This window comes from Homo sapiens, chromosome 1, assembly GCF_000001405.40.
Source record: "Homo sapiens chromosome 1, GRCh38.p14 Primary Assembly".
Classification (NCBI taxonomy): Eukaryota; Metazoa; Chordata; class Mammalia; order Primates; family Hominidae; genus Homo; species Homo sapiens.
The window spans coordinates 23373554-23392588 of NC_000001.11; the positions used below are offsets into that span (position 1 = coordinate 23373554).

Below are 19035 nucleotides of genomic sequence, written 5' to 3' on the forward strand. Positions count from 1 at the left end.
AAGGCTAAGGCACAAGAATCACTTGAACCCACGAGGCAGAGGTTGTAATGAGCCGAGATCGCGCCACTGCTCTCCAGTCTGGGCAACAGAGAGAGACTGTCTCAAAATAGATTTTTAAAAAACTGCTAAGGTGGTTTATGTCATGTGTAGTTTACTACAATTTTTAAAAAACAGTATAATAATAGTAACCTAGTTCATGAGGTCAGAGGGCTCACTGAGGCAATCAATGTAATGTGCTACCCTGCACTCATAGTAACAATAGCTAATATTTACTAATCAGTCACTATGTGTCAGGCCTGATTCTGCTGCTCTCTTTGTATTAACTAAATGAATCCTCACAACAACCCTTTGAGCTAGGAGCTGTTATTACCACTGTTTAACCGATGAAACCAGAAGCATGCAGAAGTTGTATAATGTGCCCAAGATATCCAGCTAGTAAATGCTCAATGATTAATAGATATTACTGACACTGTCATACAAAGAAATTTTAAAGGAATCATCATCATGAAGGTTGAATGCAATGTGTGCTAAGAGAATTTCACGATGCTATGGGAGTTCTGAGGAACCATCTCATGTTGCTAGGGGATCGGAGACCTCATAAGAAGATGTGCATCTGAGGTGAGCCTTGAAGAATGGATAAGATTTGGATCTGGCTGAGGAGAAGGAAGCAGTATAGGTATTCACAAATGGGAAGGCCCATTGGGTATTCAAACACAGGGCAAATATCTCCTTTAGCCTGGAGCATAAGGGACAGCAGAGGTGGACGATGAACCACCAAAGCCAAGCAGAGGGCAAGGGCCTGTCAGGCCTCTGAGCCCAAGCCTGCACGTATACATCCAGATGGCCTGAAGTAACTGAAGAATCACAAAAGAAGTGAAAATGGCTGGTTCCTGCCTTAACTAATGACATTACCTTGTGAAATTCCTTCTCCTGGCTCAGAAGCTCCCCCACTGAGCACCTTGTGTCCCCCACCCTTCCCCCTGCAGAGAACAACCCCCTTTGACTGTAATTTTCCATTACCTACCCAAATCCTATACAACGGCCCCACCCCTATCTCCCTTCACTGACTCTCTTTTCGGACTCAGCCCGCCTGCACCCAGGTGAAATAAACAGACTTGTTGCTCACACAAAGCCTGTTTGGTAGTCTCTTCAGACGGACGCGCGTGACAGGGCCCATCGGCACAGTCAGACATAAAAGCCTCTAGGCCCCCTCGCCACCCCCAGAAAAGGCAGAGGGCAGATAGAGCTTTGAAAATCAAACCAAATAGTTGAATTTTGATAGCTGGTGGAACCTGCTGAAGACAAGGAATGATGCTCAGAGTCAGGCAGGGTAGATGCAGGGAAGATAGTGCTCTGAGTTGGAGGATCAGTAGAAGACCTTTGCACCAGTCCTAGAAAAAAAAAAAACCTGGGCCGGGTGCAGTGGCTCATGCCTGTAATCCCAGCACTTTGGAAGGCCAAGGCAGGCGGATCACAAGGTCAGGAGATCAAGACCATCCTGGCTAACACGGTGAAACCCCGTCTCTACTAAAAATACAAAAAATTAGCCAGGCGTGATGGAGGGTGCCTGTAGTCCCAGCTACTCAGGAGGCTGAGGCAGGATAATGGCATGAACCCAGGAGGCAGAGCTTGCAGTGAGCAGAGATCGCGCCACTGCACTCCAGCCTGGGTGACAGAGAGAGACTCCATCTCAAAAAAGAAAAAAAAAAAGAAAAGAAAAAAGAAAAAGAAAAAAGGAAACCTGAAAGGCCATGTTGACAGTGATGGGAATGGAGATAAGGGTTGGTCAAGGGAGAGACTATAGAATTGGGAAATAAGAGAAGAGGACAAGGGGAAAGAGTCACAGATGGTTTTAAGGAATGAATTATCTGACAAATAGGAAAGACAGAAGAGGGGACCAAAGAAAGAAAAGATGCATGGGGTGCAGTGGCTCACGCCTGTAATCTCAACACTTTGGGAGGCCCAGGTGGGAGGATCGCTTGAGGTCAGTCAGGAGTTGGAGACCAGGCTTGGTAACATAGGGAGACCCCCCTCGCATGCCCATCTCTACAAAAAAAATTTTTTTTTTGAGACGGATTCTTACTCTGTCACCCAGATTGAAGTGCAGTGGCGCTGTACTGCAACCTCCACCTCCCAGGTTCAAGCGATTCTTGTGCCTCAGCCTTCTGAGTAGCTGGGATTACAGGCATGCGACACTGCGTCTGGATAATTTTTGTATGTTTAGTAGATGTTTAGTACATGTTGGCCAGGCTGGTCTCGAACTTCTGATCTCAGGTGATCTGCCCGCCTTGGCCTCCCAAAATGCTGGGATTACAGGCATGAGCCACTGTGCCTGACAAAAAAAAAAAAAATTAGCCAGATGTGGTGGCATGTGCCTGTAGTCCCAGCTACTCAGGAAGCTGAGGTGGGAGGATCACTTAAGCCTAGGAGTTCAAGACTGCAGTGAGCTATGATCACACCACTGCACTCTAGCCCAGGCAACAGAGTCAGACCCTGTCTCTCAAAAAACAAACAAACAAACAATGTCGGGGTATGGTGGCTCACACCTGTAATCCCAGCACTTTGGGAGGCTGAGGTGGGAGGATCACTTGAGCACAAGAGTTCAAGACCAGCCTGGAAAACACAGCGAGATCTCATCTCTACAAATAAAAAAAATTAGTGGGGGGTGGTGGTGCACACCTGTGGTTCTAGCTACTTGGGAGGCAAAGGCGGGAGGATCACTTGATCCTGAAACATCAAGACTTCGGTGAACTGTGATTGCACCACTGCTTTCCAGCCTAGGTGACGGGATGAGACCCTATCTCAAAAAAATATTTTTAAATTAAAAAACAGAGATGTGAGTTCAATTTCAGATTAACTGTATTATAGCATTGAGAGGGTCAGTGGGGTGCTTGCGAGGAGATATCCAAATAGGCACTTGGCAATGTAAGTCTTGAGCTAAAGAAAAAACGAGGCTAATAAGAGATTTGGTAGTCTGGATGAAAATACTAAGAAAGACTTCTCATCCTATACAGTATTTTAGGTTCCTGGAACCTTTTTAAAACACCCAAATTGGCCATAGGATCTTCAACGACCCTCCATTCTTCCATTTTCAAGTTTTTTTTTTTTTTTTTTTTTTGAGGTAGAGTCTCACTCTTGTCGTCCAGGCTGGAGTGCAGTGGCAATCTCGGCTCACTGCAACCTCTGCTTTCTGGGTTCAAGTGATTCTTCTGCCTCAGCCTCCAGAGTAGCTGGGATTACAGGCGTGTGCCACCATGCCCAGCTATTTTTTTTTTTTTTTTTTTGTATTTTTAATAGGGATGGGTTTTCACCATGTTGGCCAGGCTGGTCTCGAACTCCTGACCTCAAGTGATCCGCCCACCTTGGCCTCCTAAAGTGCTGGGATTACAGGCGTGAGCCACCGCAGCCAGCCTATTTTCAAGTTCTTTTGGCCATAACATTCTGGTGAGCTCTTTCATTCCAAGCGTGTTGCCTGTTTTACCTCATTTGACCTTGTCTTTTTCCTCCAGTATGGTAACCACCTCCCCTCCCCTAGGAAGCCCTCCTGGGTGGCAGAGGTGAATGCTAACTCCTTGTAGCTCGCACCTTCTTCATCTTTGGTTATGAAGGAGATGGGGTTAAACCACTTGTTCCAGCCAACAGCATGTGGAAAGACTCTGTGACAAGGAGGAGCACAGCATGTCGTGAAGAACTGAGAGAAGGCCAGTGTGATTGCAGCACAAAGTGCGGGGGCGAGGTACAGGCCCGCGCTGCAGGGCCCTGTAGACCTTGCCAAGAGCAGTAGGGGGGAAAAAAGGAAAGGTTTTAAATGGGGGTGTAGAGTGGAGGATTCTAAGGATCAGTTTTACAATGTGGAAAAGCCTGTTCTGGTCAGTTGGATCCGGAGTGGACACGGGAAGGCCCGCAGTGAGGGTTTTGCCGCCTGCTGATGACAGTCTGTGGCCTATTCATACTCTTTTGTGTCCTTTTGTGAATGTGGATGTATACTGTATAGATGTGTGGACTTGAGCTGACTTGTTCTTTTGCTGTTTAATCTGACTCATCTCCTTTGTAAACAGTAAGGTTATTGAGGGTGAAGATTAGTTTTCTTTTTTTTTTTTCTATGCTCTAAATCCCTATGCTATGACACAGGAAACACAACAGTTATTTAGATTGTGACTACTGAAAATTGCCCCAAGGTGCCGCGTTTATAAAACTCACCCAAGGTTGGCCGGACGCAGTGGCTTACGCCTGTAATCCCAGCACTTTGGGAGGCTGAGGCGGGCGGATCATGAGGTCAGGAGTTCGAGACCAGCCTGACCAACATGGTGAAACCCCGTCTCTACTAAAAATACAAAAATACAAAAAAAAAAAAAAATTAACCAGGCGTGGTGGCAGGTGCCTGTAATCTCAACTACCCAGGAGGCTGAGGCAGGAGAATTGCTTGAACCCGGGAGGTGGAGGTTACAGTGAGCCGAGATCACACCGCTGTACTCCAGCCTGGGCGACAGTGCAAGACTCTGTCTCAAAAAAAAAAACCTCACTCAAGGCCAGGCGTGGTGGTTCACACCTGTAATCCTAGCACTTTGGGAGGCTGAGACGGGCGGATCACCTGAGGTCAGGAGTTTGAGACCAGCCTGGCCAACATGGTGAAACCCCATCTCTATTAAAAGCACAAAAATTAGCCGGGTGTGGTGGTTCCAGTACTGGGGTTCTAGTACTTGGGAGGCTGAGGCAGGAGAATGTCTTGAACCCGGGAGGTGGAGGTTGCAGTGAGCCGAGATTGCGCCAGCCTGGGCGACAGAGCAAGACTCTGTCTCAAAACAAAACCAAACAAAACAAAAAACTCACCCGAAAGTAACCTTTATTGGCCTTATTAAATTGACAGTGGTTGCTTTTTGTTCTGCTTTTGGTTTCTAGACATTTGGATGGAGGATTACATAATACAGAGAAAAATCTGGACATCTAAGGCCTTCCTACTCAAAGTGTGGTCTGTGGACCAGCTGCATTGGGGTTAGAAATGAAAAATCAGCTGGGTGCGGTGGCTCATGCCTATAATCCCAGCGCTTTGGGAGGCTGAGGCAGGAGGATTGCTTGAGCCCAGGAGTTTGAGACCAGCCTCGACTACATAGGGAGACCCCATCTCTATAAAAAATAAAAAATTAGCCAGGCGTGGTGGTGCATGCCTATAGTCTCAGCTACTCCAGCAGCTGAGGTGGAAGGATCGCCTGAGCCTAGAAGGTCAAGTCTGCAGTGAGCCATGATGGCATTACTGCACTCCAGTCTGGGCAACAGAGTGAGACCCTGTCTTAAAAAAAAAAAAAAAGAAAAAGAAAAAAAGAAAGAAAGAATTGAACAATCTCAAGGCCCACCCCAGACCCATTGAATTGGAATCTGCATTTCAGCACAATGCCCAGTGAATTCTCACCTATATTAAAGTTTAAGAAACATCTGGGTTTCTCAGCAACATCCCCCTGCACGTCTGTGGATAATGTTGGTCCCTCAGATGTATGTGGCATTTATCGCATCCCGTCTGGTGTGGAAATCTGTGCCTATGGTTTCTTTCCCTGCCAGGCTGTGACTTCCTGGAAGGTAAGGGCTGAGCGCTGTGTATAGCTCTGGATCTCTTATAGCACAATGACAGGAAGCAGAAGACCTGGGTTTCTGTCCTGGCTCTGCCATTTATGAGCTCTTTGTGTTGTATCATCTGTGAGAGGATTTTCGATCTTTCCAAGAAAGGGATTCACCCCAAATCTAACTGTTTAAAAGTCAGAGACAGGCCAGGCGCGGTGGCTCACGCCTGCAATCCCAGCATTTTGGGAGGCCAAGGTGGGTGGATCACCTGAGATCAGGAGTTCGAGACCAGCCTGGCCGACATGGTGAAACCCCATTTCTACTAAAAATACAAAAAAAATTAGCCGGGTGTGGTGGTGGGCACCTGTAATCCCAGCTACTCAGGAGGCTGAGGCAGGAGAATCTCTTGAACTCAGGAGGTGGAGGTTGCAGTGAGCCAAAATCGTGCCATTTCACTCCACCCTGGGCAACAAGAGTGAAACTCTGTCTCAGAAAAAAAAAAAAAAAGTCAAAGATGGGGCCGGGCACAGTGGCTTATGCTTGTAATCCCAGCACTTTGGGAGGCCAAAGTGGGCGGATCATTTGAGGTCAGGAATTCAAGACTAGCCTGGCCAACATGGTGAAACCCTGTCTCTAATAAAAATACAAAAACTAGCCAGGTGGTAGTTGTGCGTGCCTGTAATCCCAGCTACTCAAGAGGCTGAGGCAGGAGGATCACTTGAGCCTGGGAGGCAGAGGTTGCGGTGAGCCAAGATTGCACCGCTGCACTCCAGTCTGGGTGACAGAGAGAGACCCTGTCTCAAAAATAAATAAATAAATAAAAATAAATAAAAGTCAAAGAAGGTGGAAGACTCCTGTACCTAGTTTATTTCCGGGCTTCATCTACAGGAGAAGGCACTTATGGATGGAAGGAAGAAGACAGTAACCAATTCTAGAGTAAATGATATCCAGGGTATATGAGGAACTTGGGTTATAGTTGCCCCAACAGCTTCCCCAAGGCTTTTCTAGAAGTTTCCAGCTTTGCTGAAAGTTCCTGTCAGCATCAAAAGCAAGCCGAGGCCAGGTGCAGTGGCTCACACCTATAATCCCAGCACTCTGGGAGGCCGAGGAGGGTGGATCACTTGAGCCCAGGAATTTGAGACTAGCCTGGCCAACAGGGCGAAAACCCGTCTCTACTAAAAATACAAAAAATTAGCCGGGTTTGGTGGCTTATGCCTGTAGTCCCAGCTACTTAGGAGGCTGAGGCAGGAGAATTGCTTGAACCTGGGAGGTGGAAATTGCAGTGAGCCAAGATCACACCACTGCATTCCAGCCTCTAAAAAAACAAAACAAAACAAAACAAACAAACAAAAAAAGCAAGCCAATAATTATCATGGGAGAAGCACGGCAAGGTCTCTGTGCTCTGCAGATGTGTTCTGAAGCTCAGGTCACAGATGGAGCTGTGAGGGACACATTGCTAGGGCCTGGGCAGGTTCTGAGGCTCAGGACTTTCAAAGGGCCATGGAAGTCAGAGTGCTGCTGTAATCTTCAGAAAGCCCACTCAAGAAAGCCCACTCAGAAAGCCCAGCTCAAGAGGATCTGTTCCCTGCCTAGAGGGATATGATCTGGAGTCCTCAAAGGCCCCCACAGCCAGCTGTGAACAGGGAATAGCAGAGAGTTTGGGAAGAGATGAGGAAAGAGTAGGGAAGAAATATTTCTATTAGGCCACTGCAAAAGTAACTGCAAAAACCACAATTACTTTTGCAGCAACCTAATACGTAGTATGGAAGTAATATCTGCTGAAGCCAAATGGTGTATCAACAGTTCTGCACGTGTGACTCGGAGGTGGGGGTGGGGTAAGGTTTGTGTTGATCTGGCATTTTTCAATTTGGAAAAGGCTGGGAGATCCAGATGGGAGAGAAGGAACTCAAAGCAAACGTCTGCCAGCCCACTGTCAAAGATATGACACCTCAGGTCTAAGGCGCTGCAGTTTCTTTATTTTTTCTTTTTATAGAGATGGGGTCTTGCTGTGTTGCCTGGGCTGGACTCAAACTTCTGGGGTTAAGCGATTCTCCCACCTCAGCCTCCCAGAGTTTGCAGATTACAGCCATAAACCACCGTGCCCAGCCCTCTGCAGTTTCTAAAAGAGGTTCATCAATACAAATTCTCAGCATCATTCTCCAATTAGGCTCCCCCATTAACCAATTGTTTCTAATGACCGATTATTAATTTGCAAGAGAATTCTTCCTCTAACTCATACCATCCCACTCAGACAGAGTTCAGTATTTTCCTTCACTTTAATTTTTATTGCTTCTCCAGTTCAGATAATTCAGCGCTTCCTCTTTCTTCTTCCTCACCTTGTTCATGGCTGGCTGTTCCATCAGCAGAACTACAAAACCAGAAAGGCAACAAAATTTGAAAGGTTTCTCGGCATCCTCCAAGGAGGCTGTGGGGGAATATGAAAAAGAAGGTGGTGTCTGGAGCCACACAGACCAGAGTCCAAAGCCCAGCTCTGCCATTATTAGCTGTGTGATCTTGAACAAATCACTCACCTGTAAAATGAGCTCATAAAGCTTGTGAATGTGAGAATGATATCAGGTAATAAATGAATGGCAATTCGGTGCCAGGAATGTGCTGAGCTCTCAATTTATGGTCAAGAACATCACTGGGATGGCTACTAATCACTTGGTTAGACTTTTGGTCTCCCACATGGCAACGGAGACCAACTGAAAATGTGTTCAGAAGTCTGTAGTTGTTACCTCTAGTGGATCCTGTCCCTCCAACTAGTAAGAGTCAAGGAAGAGGAGCTGGATTTAAAGCATTCAGAATGTCCTTTCTCTAACAGTAACAAAATCACAAGAGCTACATTTATTGAGCATTTATTCTGTGCTAGGCAGTATTAACATGTATTAACTCATTTCACCCTTACAATCACTCTGAGATAGGCACTAATATCACTCCCAATTTTTTTTTTTTTTTTGAAACGGAGTTTCACTTGTCACCCAGGCTGGAGTGCAATGGCATGATCTTGGCTCACCGCAATCTCCGCCTCCTGAGTTCAAGCGAGTCTCCTGCCTCAGCCTCCCGAGTAGCTGGGATTACAGGCATGTGTCACCACGCCTGGCTAATTTTGTATTTTTAGTAGAGACGGGGTTTCTCCATGTTGGTCAGGCTGGTCTCAAACTCCCGACCTCAGGTGATCCACCGGCCTCCCAAAGTGCTGGAATTACAGGCACGAGCCACTGCGCCTGGCCTATCACTCCTATTTTTACAGGTAAGGAAGCAGATCAGAGAGGTTAAGTGACTTGCCCAAACTCCCGTAATACTAGTAGATGACATACCCAAAATAGTAAGAATAGTGGTTTTATGTACCAGGCATGTCTGTACTCAGGGCTTTTTTTGTATGGTTGTATAATTTGTTGACTGCACAAAAGAGCCTGGCCAAAGGGGCAAGCTGAGGCTGAAACGTAGCCCCTGCTCTGTTTGCTCCGTACCCTGGCATGAGGCTGTGCCGCCTGGAGGAAGGGACACCTTTTTCTAATTTGACAAAGATGCCATATGAGCTCTCAGAGGCTCTGTTAATGCTTTATGTGTGTTACCTTCTCTACTCCTCAAAACAGCTCTGTGGGCTAGATATGAATACCCTCATTTTATAGATGAGGAAATCCAGGCTTAGTGAGTTCAGGTCACTGAGTTAAGTCACTTGGTAAGGGATAAAGCTAGGATTTGAGCCTGATGCCAAAGCCCATGCTCTAAACCAGTAGGCCACTATACTGGCCCCATCCCTAAGTGCTCAATAAGTGAAAAAAGGAAAAAATACATAATCATCTGGTTTTTACCTTAAAAAATATGGCAGTTCTAATGAGGCCCCAGTAAGGGCTACTGAGGTCCTTAGTAAGAAAAATAATTAGAGGCCGGGCGCGGCGGCTCACGCCTGTAATCCCAGCACTTTGGGAGGCCGAGGCGGGCGGATCACGAGGTCAGGAGATCAAGACCATCCTGGCTAACACGGTGAAACCCCGTCTCTACTAAAAATACAAAAAAATTAGCCGGGTGTGGTGGCCGGCGCCTTTAGTCCCAGCTACTCAGGAGGCTGAGGCAGGAGAATGGTGTGAACCTGGGGGGTGGAGCTTGCAGTGAGCAGAGATCACACCACTGCACTCCAGCCTGGGCAACAGAGCGAGACTCCATCTCAAAAAAAAAAAAAAAAAAAGTAAAAGAATTGATCAGGAAGTCGGAGCATCGGCTTTCAGTGCTCCAAACTGTGGCTTTATGCTTATTAACTATTTCTGTATTTCAATTTCCTTGTCTGAAAGTAAGAATAACATTATAAAGGAACAATTCTTGTAGTTGTTTGCAAAGTGTTTATGCATACATGATAACCCTCATATCAAAATGATCCTCACATCATCAAACCTGGGAGAAAGGCATTATTATTACTCTTTTGCTCAATGAGGTGAGTAACATGCTCAGCATGAGTAGGGCAGAATGGGACCTGAAACCAGGGATCCTGACTTATCTTGTACTTCTTGCTAAGTACCTTAGAACTTTTGGAGCACCTGCAGCCTGCCTGGTGGCCCAGACATCACATGGTGCACATGCAAGTCAGAGAGCAGTTGGAAACTGACAATAGGCACGTGACCACACTCTGTTCCTTCAGGAGACTTGGCAGGAAGGAGCACTCTGGGAGGAGTCTTTGTTTGGCTCCCATGCGTGAAAACAAAACTTCTGCCTTTGCAGGAGCTGGGGCAGTCTGAGTTACAGACTTGGGTAAGACTTTCAGAGCTTCCTTAGGAGGGAAGGATGGCCTGGTGGCATTTAGGTTCAACTCCTTTCTGACAGGGCTCAGCCTTCCTGTTTCCCATCCTTGGCTGTGGCCAGGTTCAAAGGAAATACCATCTGTGGAAGCACTTTCCAAAGAGGCGTGGTCCAAGTGCAGAATGTTTTTCCTCTCCTCTGTGGATCTCAGGAAGCCGATTCCATCTGTGCTCAAATGACAGACTTGCTCATCCTGTGATAAAATGTGGGCTGCTGCCCCCACCCCAGCTTGGTGCCCTTCTAAAATGAAAACATGCATGTGTGTTCTCTCCCCACCTCCCCAACAGCAATCCGCCACTATCTCTGGCTCTGCAGACCTACTCTGTGCAGGCTGGCAAGTGCTGCCATGCACAAGGCCCCTTCTGGGTTGTGGGTACACTACGCCTTATGCGGGCGAGGTATGTGGATAACAGGGAAGGGGGAAATACATAAACATACAGACCTTCCAGCGATTGCCACATTCATTGCATAAGACAAAGGTAGTCATGGGCTCATCAGCACTGCGTGTCTGCACCTGAGAGAGAGAAGAACCACTCATGAAGTCACTCCCCTGTTCTAGGACCTGCCATGGCTCCCACTGTCTTTAGGAGTAGGTCCAAATCCCAGAGGTTGGCACTGAGATTCCCACCCCCCGCTGGCAATTTCCTTATCACTGACAACTCCATAATATTAGTATTATGCTTTCCTCTCCTCTGGCAGGCAGTCCATCAGCTCACTCCCAGTATCTTACTGGCTTAACCTGGCCTTTTGCACTTCCGCTTTTTTTTTTTTTTTTTTTTTGACAGTGGAGTCTCGCTCTGTTGCCCAGACTGGAGTGCAGTGGTGCCATCTCGGCTCACTGCAACCTCCACCTCCTGGGTTCAAGCAATTCTCCTGCCTCAGCCTCCTGAATAGCTGGGATTACAGGCGCCCGCCACCACGCCCGGCTAATTTGGACTTTCACTCTTGTTGGTCACTCTTGTTGATCTTTTGTAACAGACCTCTCTTCTCTTGCCTCAAGACTTATCTCCTACAGGAAGTATTCCCTGACTCACCCCTGAACACATCCTACTGGACAAGTTCACAGGAGTGAGCTGCAAGCAGGCTTAGCGGTCTAGTTCATCTTCCTTATTTTACTGGTGGAAGACCTGAGGCCCAGAGAGGGAAAGTCCTAAATATCATTGGGACTATTTAATGTTACATTTTCTCATCCTCTTAGCCTCATCATTCAGGTGCAGGAACCGGGTATCCCACAGTAAAGCCCTGGCATTTCCAGGTTTAACAGCTCCTGTTCTGGTTTTCTAAGGCTGTCCTTGGCTGGCCACGACATGTAGCAAGTCATTACTTTGCTGACAATCAGCTACGAATGATGTCAGCTGGGAATCTGTGGTGTGGGACGAGTTATGCCCGCCACCCTCCTTGGGTGAGCCCCAGCAGCCCAGCAGTCTGCCAGGCGGACACAGCTTAGCGCAGCCTGGTCACTGGAAAGCAGTGACGAGCAGAGAGAAAACTTTGCTAGTGGGCAGTTTACTTCTAGAAAGAAGTGAGGCACAGGAAGCGCATCACTCCACACGGAAAGGTGCTTGGGAGAGAGCAGAAGCTTGCACAAACATCTCCGGATTCCAGAACTGGAATTCTCCAAGGGACTCCTCCGGAATGGCAAGGCTGACTGCATTTCTGCCCTGGCCACAGAATGCCGCAGGCAAGGTGCTCTTGATAAATGGTGTGTGCCGAACAGACGGAGAACTCTGAATAGAGTTCTAGAATGACTAGACACCAGTTAGAATCCAAGGATATTTGTGCTCTAAGGGCATACCATGTGCAACCCAGAAAGAGGAGGCCATTCTCTGGTTTTAAGAGAAGGGGCCTCCACAGCCTTCCCAAGTTCCCCATGCCAGGGCAATGGTCTTCAACTTTAGGACTCAGAGCTAAAGCCCTTAGGCTTTATTGACCAAGTTAGCTGGATTGCAGGCAGAATGGTGTGGATCTTGTTTATTACTACCTCTGACATTGGCCTCCTTTCTTGGGCAAGGCTAAAAAGCCCATCTGTGGCCTGTGTGGGCCTCAGTTTCCCTGGGTGTGTAATGAGGGAGCTGGGTTTCACATTGCCAAGTTCCCTTCCAACTGTCTATGACTCTTCAGCCGCCATGAGTCTGATTCTTCTTATTGTCACGTCAGGGCAGACCAGAACACACTGACCAAGCCTCGTAGACACATAGCAGGGATGATTCTAAACTCAGAGGAACATTGTCTAGAAGCCACAGGTGCACCACATTAGTGTACCAAGGCTTGCCCTTCTCTCTGCAGCCTGGAGAGTTTTTAAGGTTTTCTTTGTTTTGTTGAGTCAGGGTCTCATTCTGTCACCCAGGCTGGAGTGCAGTGGTGCAATCATAGCTCATTGCAGCCTCAATTCACTGTAGCCTCAACCTCCTGGGCTCCAGTGATTCTCCTGCCTCATCGCCACCCATTTCCCCCGCATCCAGTAGCTGGGACTACAGGCACACACTACCAAGCCTGGCTAATTTTTGTATTTTTAGCAGAGATGACGTTTCACCACGTTGCCCAGGCTGCTCTCAAACTCCTAGGCTCAAGCAATCTGCCTGCCTCGGCCTCCCAAAGTGCTGGGATTACAGGCGTGAGCCACTGAGCTGGCCCAGCCTAGAGAGGTTTTCTTTTTGTTGTTTGTTTGGTTTGAGACAGAGTCTCCCTCTGTCGCCCAGGCTGGAGTACAGTGGTGCAATCTCGGCTCACTGCAGCCTCCACCTCCCAGGTTCCAGTGATTCTCCTGCCTCAGCCTCCAGGGTAGCTGGGATTACAGGCACGTGCCACCATGCCTGGCTAATTTTTTTTTTCTTTCAGATGGAGTCTCACTCTGTCGCCCAAGCTGGAGTGCAGTGGCATGATCTCGGTTCACTGCAAGCTCCACCTCCCGGGTTCACGCCATTCTCCTGCCTCAGCCTCCTGAGTAGCTGGGACTACAGGTGCCCGCCACCACACCCTGCTAATTTTTTGAATTTTTAGCAGAGACGGGGTTTCACCGTGTTTGCCAGGATGGTCTCAATCTCCTGACCTCGTGATCCGCCCGTCTTGGCCTCCCAAAGTGCTGGGATTATAGGCGTGAGCCACCGCGCCCGGCATTTTTGTATTTTTAGTAGAGATGGGGTTTCACTGTGTTGGCCAGGCTGGTCTCAAACTCCTGGCCTCAGGTGATCCACTCGCCTTGGCCTCCCAAAGTGCTGTGATTACAGACATGAGCCACCGCACCCGGCAAAGCCTAGAGAGTTTTAACGCTTTCTCCCCTCTGGCTCTTCCCTAAGCTTCTCTCTGATTTTCCACCTCTATGCCCCTGCGGCCTCCTGCACCTCCGGCCCGTCCCCTCACTGTCCTTACCTGGTTATAGGTGCAGTTCTTCTTCTTGCATTTGCTGCACTGGAAGAGGTCAGTGGTGGTGCCGCCAGTCTTGGCCATCTGGTGCTCACGGATGGCCTCCTGGGTCATGGCATTCCTCAACTCCCTCAGTTCATCACTGGCCATTTCCTGGAGAAAAAAGAGTCTACCCTTCAGGGCTGAGGAGTTTCAGGGGCCCTGCCCTACACCCGGTTTCTAGAAAGCCTGAACAGAAAAGGAGGTAACATGCTTTATTGACTGCAAGGAGCTGGAAGGAGGCCTGGATTCCGGGTCCTGCCCCAGCTGGGAGAAAGCTGTCCCCGCAGAGTCCTCCTGCCGCCCACGGCTGGAAGGTCATAATGCACATTCAGGTGAGCAGCAGGCAAACAGCCTCTGCCCGAGGACGAGCACTCCTGTGTACATTTCTTCAGATCTGGGGCTCATCCTGCCTGCCAGGACCTTGGCCTTGGCCTGAACCTTCCTGCTTGAGCTGACTTGATCACTGCCACCTGGTCTATGATGTTCCCCTTAGCCTTCCTCTCTAGACTTGACCCAGTGCTCTTTTACGCTGTGATCACTGCCCTGCTGTTCTGCTTAGTGGGAACCTTGGCGCAACTACCCATGACTTGCTGCTGCTACCCCCATCCTGAAGCTCCTGGGCTCACACAACTAACTGTTCATCTGATGAGCATGCATCCAAGATCATCTTTTTCTGAGAGTTTCTACAGAAGAGTCTCCAGTCTCCCACCAGCTCACAGTAGACACTCCGGGTCTGCATCACCCACACCTTTGCTTTCTCTGTCCATCTCCCTGGCCACTTGTCTCCCCTTAAGCCTCTGCCAGAGGACAGCAGAGAGGGAGCTCCAGTTAAGGGTTGGTGGAAGGGGAAGGAGGGTGGCTGACGCGAATCTCAAAATGAGGATTTTAAACTTTTTTTTTTTTTTTTTGAGATGGAGTCTCGCTCTGTCACCAGGCTGAAGTGCAGTGGTGCGATCTCGGCTCACTGCAACCTCCACCTCCTGGGTTCAAGCGATTCTCCTGCCTCAGCCTCCCGAGTAGCTGGGACTACAGGCTCATGCCACCACACCCAGCTAATTTTTGTATTTTTAGTAGAGACGGGGTTTCACCATATTGGCCAGGATGGTCTCGATCTCCTGACCTTGTGATCCACCCACCTCATCCTTCCAAAGTGCTGGGATTACAGGTATGAACCACTATGCCTGGCTTAAACATTTTAATTGTTGCTGTCTGTCCTGAGTCCTTAAACCATGGAGAAGAATGCTGGCATAAAGGTCAAAGCATTTTAGTGTGCTCACCTTTCATTATAACCACTTAGGCTTCTTGATAAAATGCAGATTCCTATGAATCTGAATTGCTAAGGGCAGGCCCAGGAATATGCATTTTTTAAAGTTCTTTATTTGGTTATTTTTGGGACAGGATCTTGCTGTCACCTAGGCTGGAGTGCAGTGGTGCGATCGTGACTCATGGCAGCCTCAACCTCCCCAGGCTCAAACGATTCTCCCACCTCAGCCTCCCAAGTAGCTGGGACTACACCCAGCATGCACCACCAAACCTGGTTAATTATTTTTTGTATATTTTTGTAGAGATGGGGTTTTCCCATGTTGCCTAGGCTGGTCTCCTGAGCTCAAGTGATCTGCCTACTTTGGACTCCCGAAGTGCCGGGATTACAGGCATGAGCCACTGCGCCTGGCCAGAATATGCATTTTCACTAGTGTCCTCAAGTTATTCTGGTACGTATTAATGTTTAAGTCCTAGTGTGTTAAATTCAAAGGCTAGGCCCTAACCAATGGCAGGAGAATATAGAAAAACAAGTCAATGAAAGCCATTTACCCATATGAGTAAAAAGTAGCTGACTTTAATTTGAGGGGATTTTCCAGAGCATAAAGCATTTGCCCATTCAAAATTTATTGGATGTGGCCAGGTGCAGTGGCTTACACCTGTAATCTCAGCACTTTGGGAGGCTGGGACAGGTGGATCACCTGAGGTCAGGAGTTGGAGACCAGCCAGGTCAACATGGTGAAACCCCATCTGTACTAAAAATACAAAAAATTAGCTGGGTGTGGTGGCGGGCACCTGTAATCCCAGCTACTTGGAAGGCTGAAGCAGGACAATTGCTTGAACCTGGGAGGTTTAAGTTGCAGTGAGCTGAGACTGCACCATTGCACTCCCGCCTGGGCAACAACAGCGAGATTCCATCAAAAAAAAAAAAAAAGCCAGGCATTGGTGGTGCATGCCTGTAATCTCAGCTATTTAGGAGGCTGAGGCAGGAGAATCGCTTGAACCTGGGAGGTGGAGGGTGCAGTGAGCCGAGATCACGTCACTGCACTCCAGCCTGGGTGACAGAGTGAGACTCCGTCTCAAAAAACAAAAACAAAATCTATTGGATGCCAATTTACTGAATGCCTTTAACTGTATCAGTTTGCAGGTAAACCAGCTTTGGTTGTGGGGATGCCTTGATTTGTAGTGTTTGTCAGCTTCCATGGGACAAAATGCTATGGTCAATGGGACAAAATTCCATGGCCAATTTCAAGCTGCTAATGTGATATAACTGAACGCAGAGTTGGGAAGAGCTACACATCACCAGCTCCCTTGAGCTGGTAGGAGCTAGCTCAAGCATGCTACTGCCTCTGAGTCCAACGGATTCAGAAAGGAAGATCTGGTTCCTCCTCCCAAGTAGTGCTAATCTGATAGGGTAGCCAAGCATTTACACGAGATTGCAAGAGAGGGAAGGAAGTACTAAAGTGAAGGCATATAAGGTGCAGGGGAAAGCAACAGGGTATGGTGGTTAACTGTTTGGGGTCTGGTGGGTCATGAAGAAGCTAGTACTTTAACCAGTCTTGAAAGATAGGAGTTCCTGGGGTGGGTGGTGGCACATTCCAGACAAATAAAACAGCAGGGCCGGGCGCAGTGGCTCACACATGTAATCCCAGCACTTCAGGAAGCCGAGGCGGGCAGATCACCTGAGGTCAGGAGTTTGAGACCAACCTGGCCAACATGGCGAAACTTCGTCTCTACTAAAAATAGAAAAATTAGCCAGGCATGGTTACATGGTTACAGGTGCATGCCTGCAGTCCTAACTACTTGGGAGGCTGAGGCAGGAGAATCTCTTGAACCTGGGAGGTGGAGGTTGCAGTGAGCTGAGATTATGCCATTGCACTCCAGCCTGGGTGACAGCCAGACTCCATCTCAAAAGAAAAAACAAAAAACAAAAAACAGCAGGCACAAAAGATCAGAGGACAAGAATAGCATGTTTGGGGAAAAGTATTTGGGGTAGGTTCAAGTCAAGCATGGGAGATGTGGCTGGAGGTCAGATTGTGGAAGGAAGGTCTTGTGTGCCAGCTAAGAAATAGAGAACAGAAAAATCTATCCAGCCACACGCCAATTCATTGACTTCTCTGCCCTGCCTCATTAGAATGAGGCAGCATCAGAGACACGGAGAATAAATACAACACTGTAGAAAATAAGGTGGAAAATGAAGGAAATGAGAGTCAGAGACCACAATTCTATCCCTATTTGTTGAGCCCTGTGATGTACCAGACACTGTTGTCAGTGCTGGGTGGACTGTGAATGCCGGTTCTCAGGGGACTGACAGGATGCTATGTCCACTCAGCAGCGCTCATGGGTATCTCAGAGCCTACTCCATTCTTTGCTATGTCTGAGTAGGGAAGAAAAGAGAAGAAGAAAGAATGAGGGAGTCAGGTAAACAAGGAAAGAGGCATAAAAAGGGAGTCAGGGAAGGGAGTTCTGAGAGAGACACCGTCCACATGGGTTCCTGATGGGCGCTTCCCCTCACAGCAGGCAGCCCAAGCCCAAGCTAAGATTTTTCTGTTTTTTTTTCTTTTTTTCTTTCTTTCTTTCTTTTTTTTTTTTTTTTTTGAGATGGAGGATCTCAGCTCACTGCAACCTCTGCCTCCTGGGTTCAAGCGATTCTCCTGCCTCAGCCTCCCGAGTAGCTGGGACTACAGGTGTGTGCCACCACGCCCGGCTAATTTTTGTATTTTTAGTAGAGACAGGGTTTTGCCATCTTGAACTCCTGAGCTCAGGAGTTCTGCCCACCTCGGCCTCCCAAAGTGCTGGGATTACAGGCATGAGCCACCTCACGTGGCCTGTTGAAATCCTAACCCCAAGGCAATGGTTATTAGGGGGTCTTTGGGAGGTGATTAGCTCTCAAGGGCAGAGCTCTGGTGCAGGGGATTAGTGCTCCTCTAATAGGGGCCTGAGAAAGACCCCTCCACCATGTGAGGTTACAGTGAGAAGATGGCTGTCTATGAGGAAGCAGGCCCTCACTAGACACTGAATCTGCTGCTGCCCTGATGTTGGACTGTCCAATCTCTAGAAATGTGAGAACTAGGCCAGGTGTCATGGTTCACGCCTGTAATCCCAGCACTTTGGGAGGCTGAGGCAGGTGGATTATCTGAGGTCAGGAGTTTGAGACCAGCCTGGCCAACATGGTGAAATCCCATCTCTACTAAAAATACAAAAATTAGCCGGGCATGGTGGCACACCCCTGTAATCCCAGCTACTCGGGAGGCTGAGGCAGTAGAATCGCTTGAACCTGGGAGGTGGAGGCTGCAGTGAGCCCAGATTGTGCCACTACACTCCAGCCTGGGCAAAAGAGTGGACTCCATCTCAAAAAAACAAGCAAACAAAAAAAAAGAAATGTGAGGAATAAATGCCTGTTGTTTATAAACTACCCAGGCGATGTTCGTTATAGCAGTCTGAACTGACGAAAGACACACTGTAAAGCCAAGTTGCAATTTATAACTCCAGGCATATGTTGCTATTTACCCAAAAAGATCAGATATTTTAAATTAGGCAGAAAGATAACCCTGGTCTACCTGTGCCAAGTTCCCCATTTCATCCTAAAGCCAAGGCTCTTTGCTGTTTGTTTTGGGTGTTTGAGGAAAGCAGTGAACCCTCTCCTCAGAAGAATGTACATACACACACTACATAACACAGACACACACTTCCACATGCCACACATACACAAACCACACATGCCACACATATGCTAATCACACACCACACACATACTTCACATGACATCATACACACACACTCCACACATCATACACACACACTCCACACATCATACACAAAACACACTCCACACATCATCATGCACAATACACACACACTCCACACATCATGCACAATACACACACACTCCACACATCATACACACCACACACTCCACACATCACACACTCACACTCCATACATCATACACACATATTCCACACATCATACACGCCACATACACTCCACACATCAGACACACACACTCCACACATCATA

The 19035-nt window shown here is 48.0% G+C and overlaps 1 protein-coding gene across 7 annotated transcripts in view, besides 3 other annotated features; it reads right to left on the reverse strand.

Annotated features, from left to right (window-relative positions):
* Positions 3843-4137: an enhancer, noted in NCBI's record as "tiled region #9848; HepG2 Activating DNase matched - State 1:Tss". NCBI's record gives its function as "activates a minimal TATA promoter and a strong SV40 promoter by Sharpr-MPRA in HepG2 cells {active_cell/tissue: HepG2}" and the evidence as "EXISTENCE:reporter gene assay evidence [ECO:0000049][PMID:27701403]".
* Positions 4632-4701: an enhancer, noted in NCBI's record as "active region_362". NCBI's record gives its function as "activates an Ori minimal core promoter by ATAC-STARR-seq in GM12878 lymphoblastoid cells {active_cell/tissue: GM12878}" and the evidence as "EXISTENCE:reporter gene assay evidence [ECO:0000049][PMID:35858748]".
* TCEA3 (transcription elongation factor A3) overlaps positions 7356-19035 on the reverse strand; it is a 43840-nt gene continuing 32160 nt past the window's right edge. For 4 of the 7 annotated variants that reach the window (XM_017002201.2, XM_017002202.3, XM_017002200.3 and 1 more), the window contains 3 exons: positions 13720-13866; positions 10793-10864; positions 9877-10543 (listed from right to left, as the gene is read on the reverse strand). In XM_017002201.2, the coding sequence (XP_016857690.1) occupies positions 10118-10543; positions 10793-10864; positions 13720-13866 (645 nt within the window). In that variant the 3' untranslated portion in view covers positions 9877-10117. Of the gene's footprint in view, positions 7979-9876; positions 10544-10792; positions 10865-13719; positions 13867-19035 lie in introns of those variants that run through there. The other 3 variants (NM_003196.3, XM_011542053.4, XM_006710864.3) reach the window with 3 other exon arrangements.
* Positions 9563-9779: a silencer, noted in NCBI's record as "fragment chr1:23709609-23709825 (GRCh37/hg19 assembly coordinates)". NCBI's record gives its function as "represses an EF-1alpha promoter that drives an FKBP-Casp9 reporter gene in an ReSE screen in K562 erythroleukemia cells {active_cell/tissue: K562}" and the evidence as "EXISTENCE:reporter gene assay evidence [ECO:0000049][PMID:32094911]".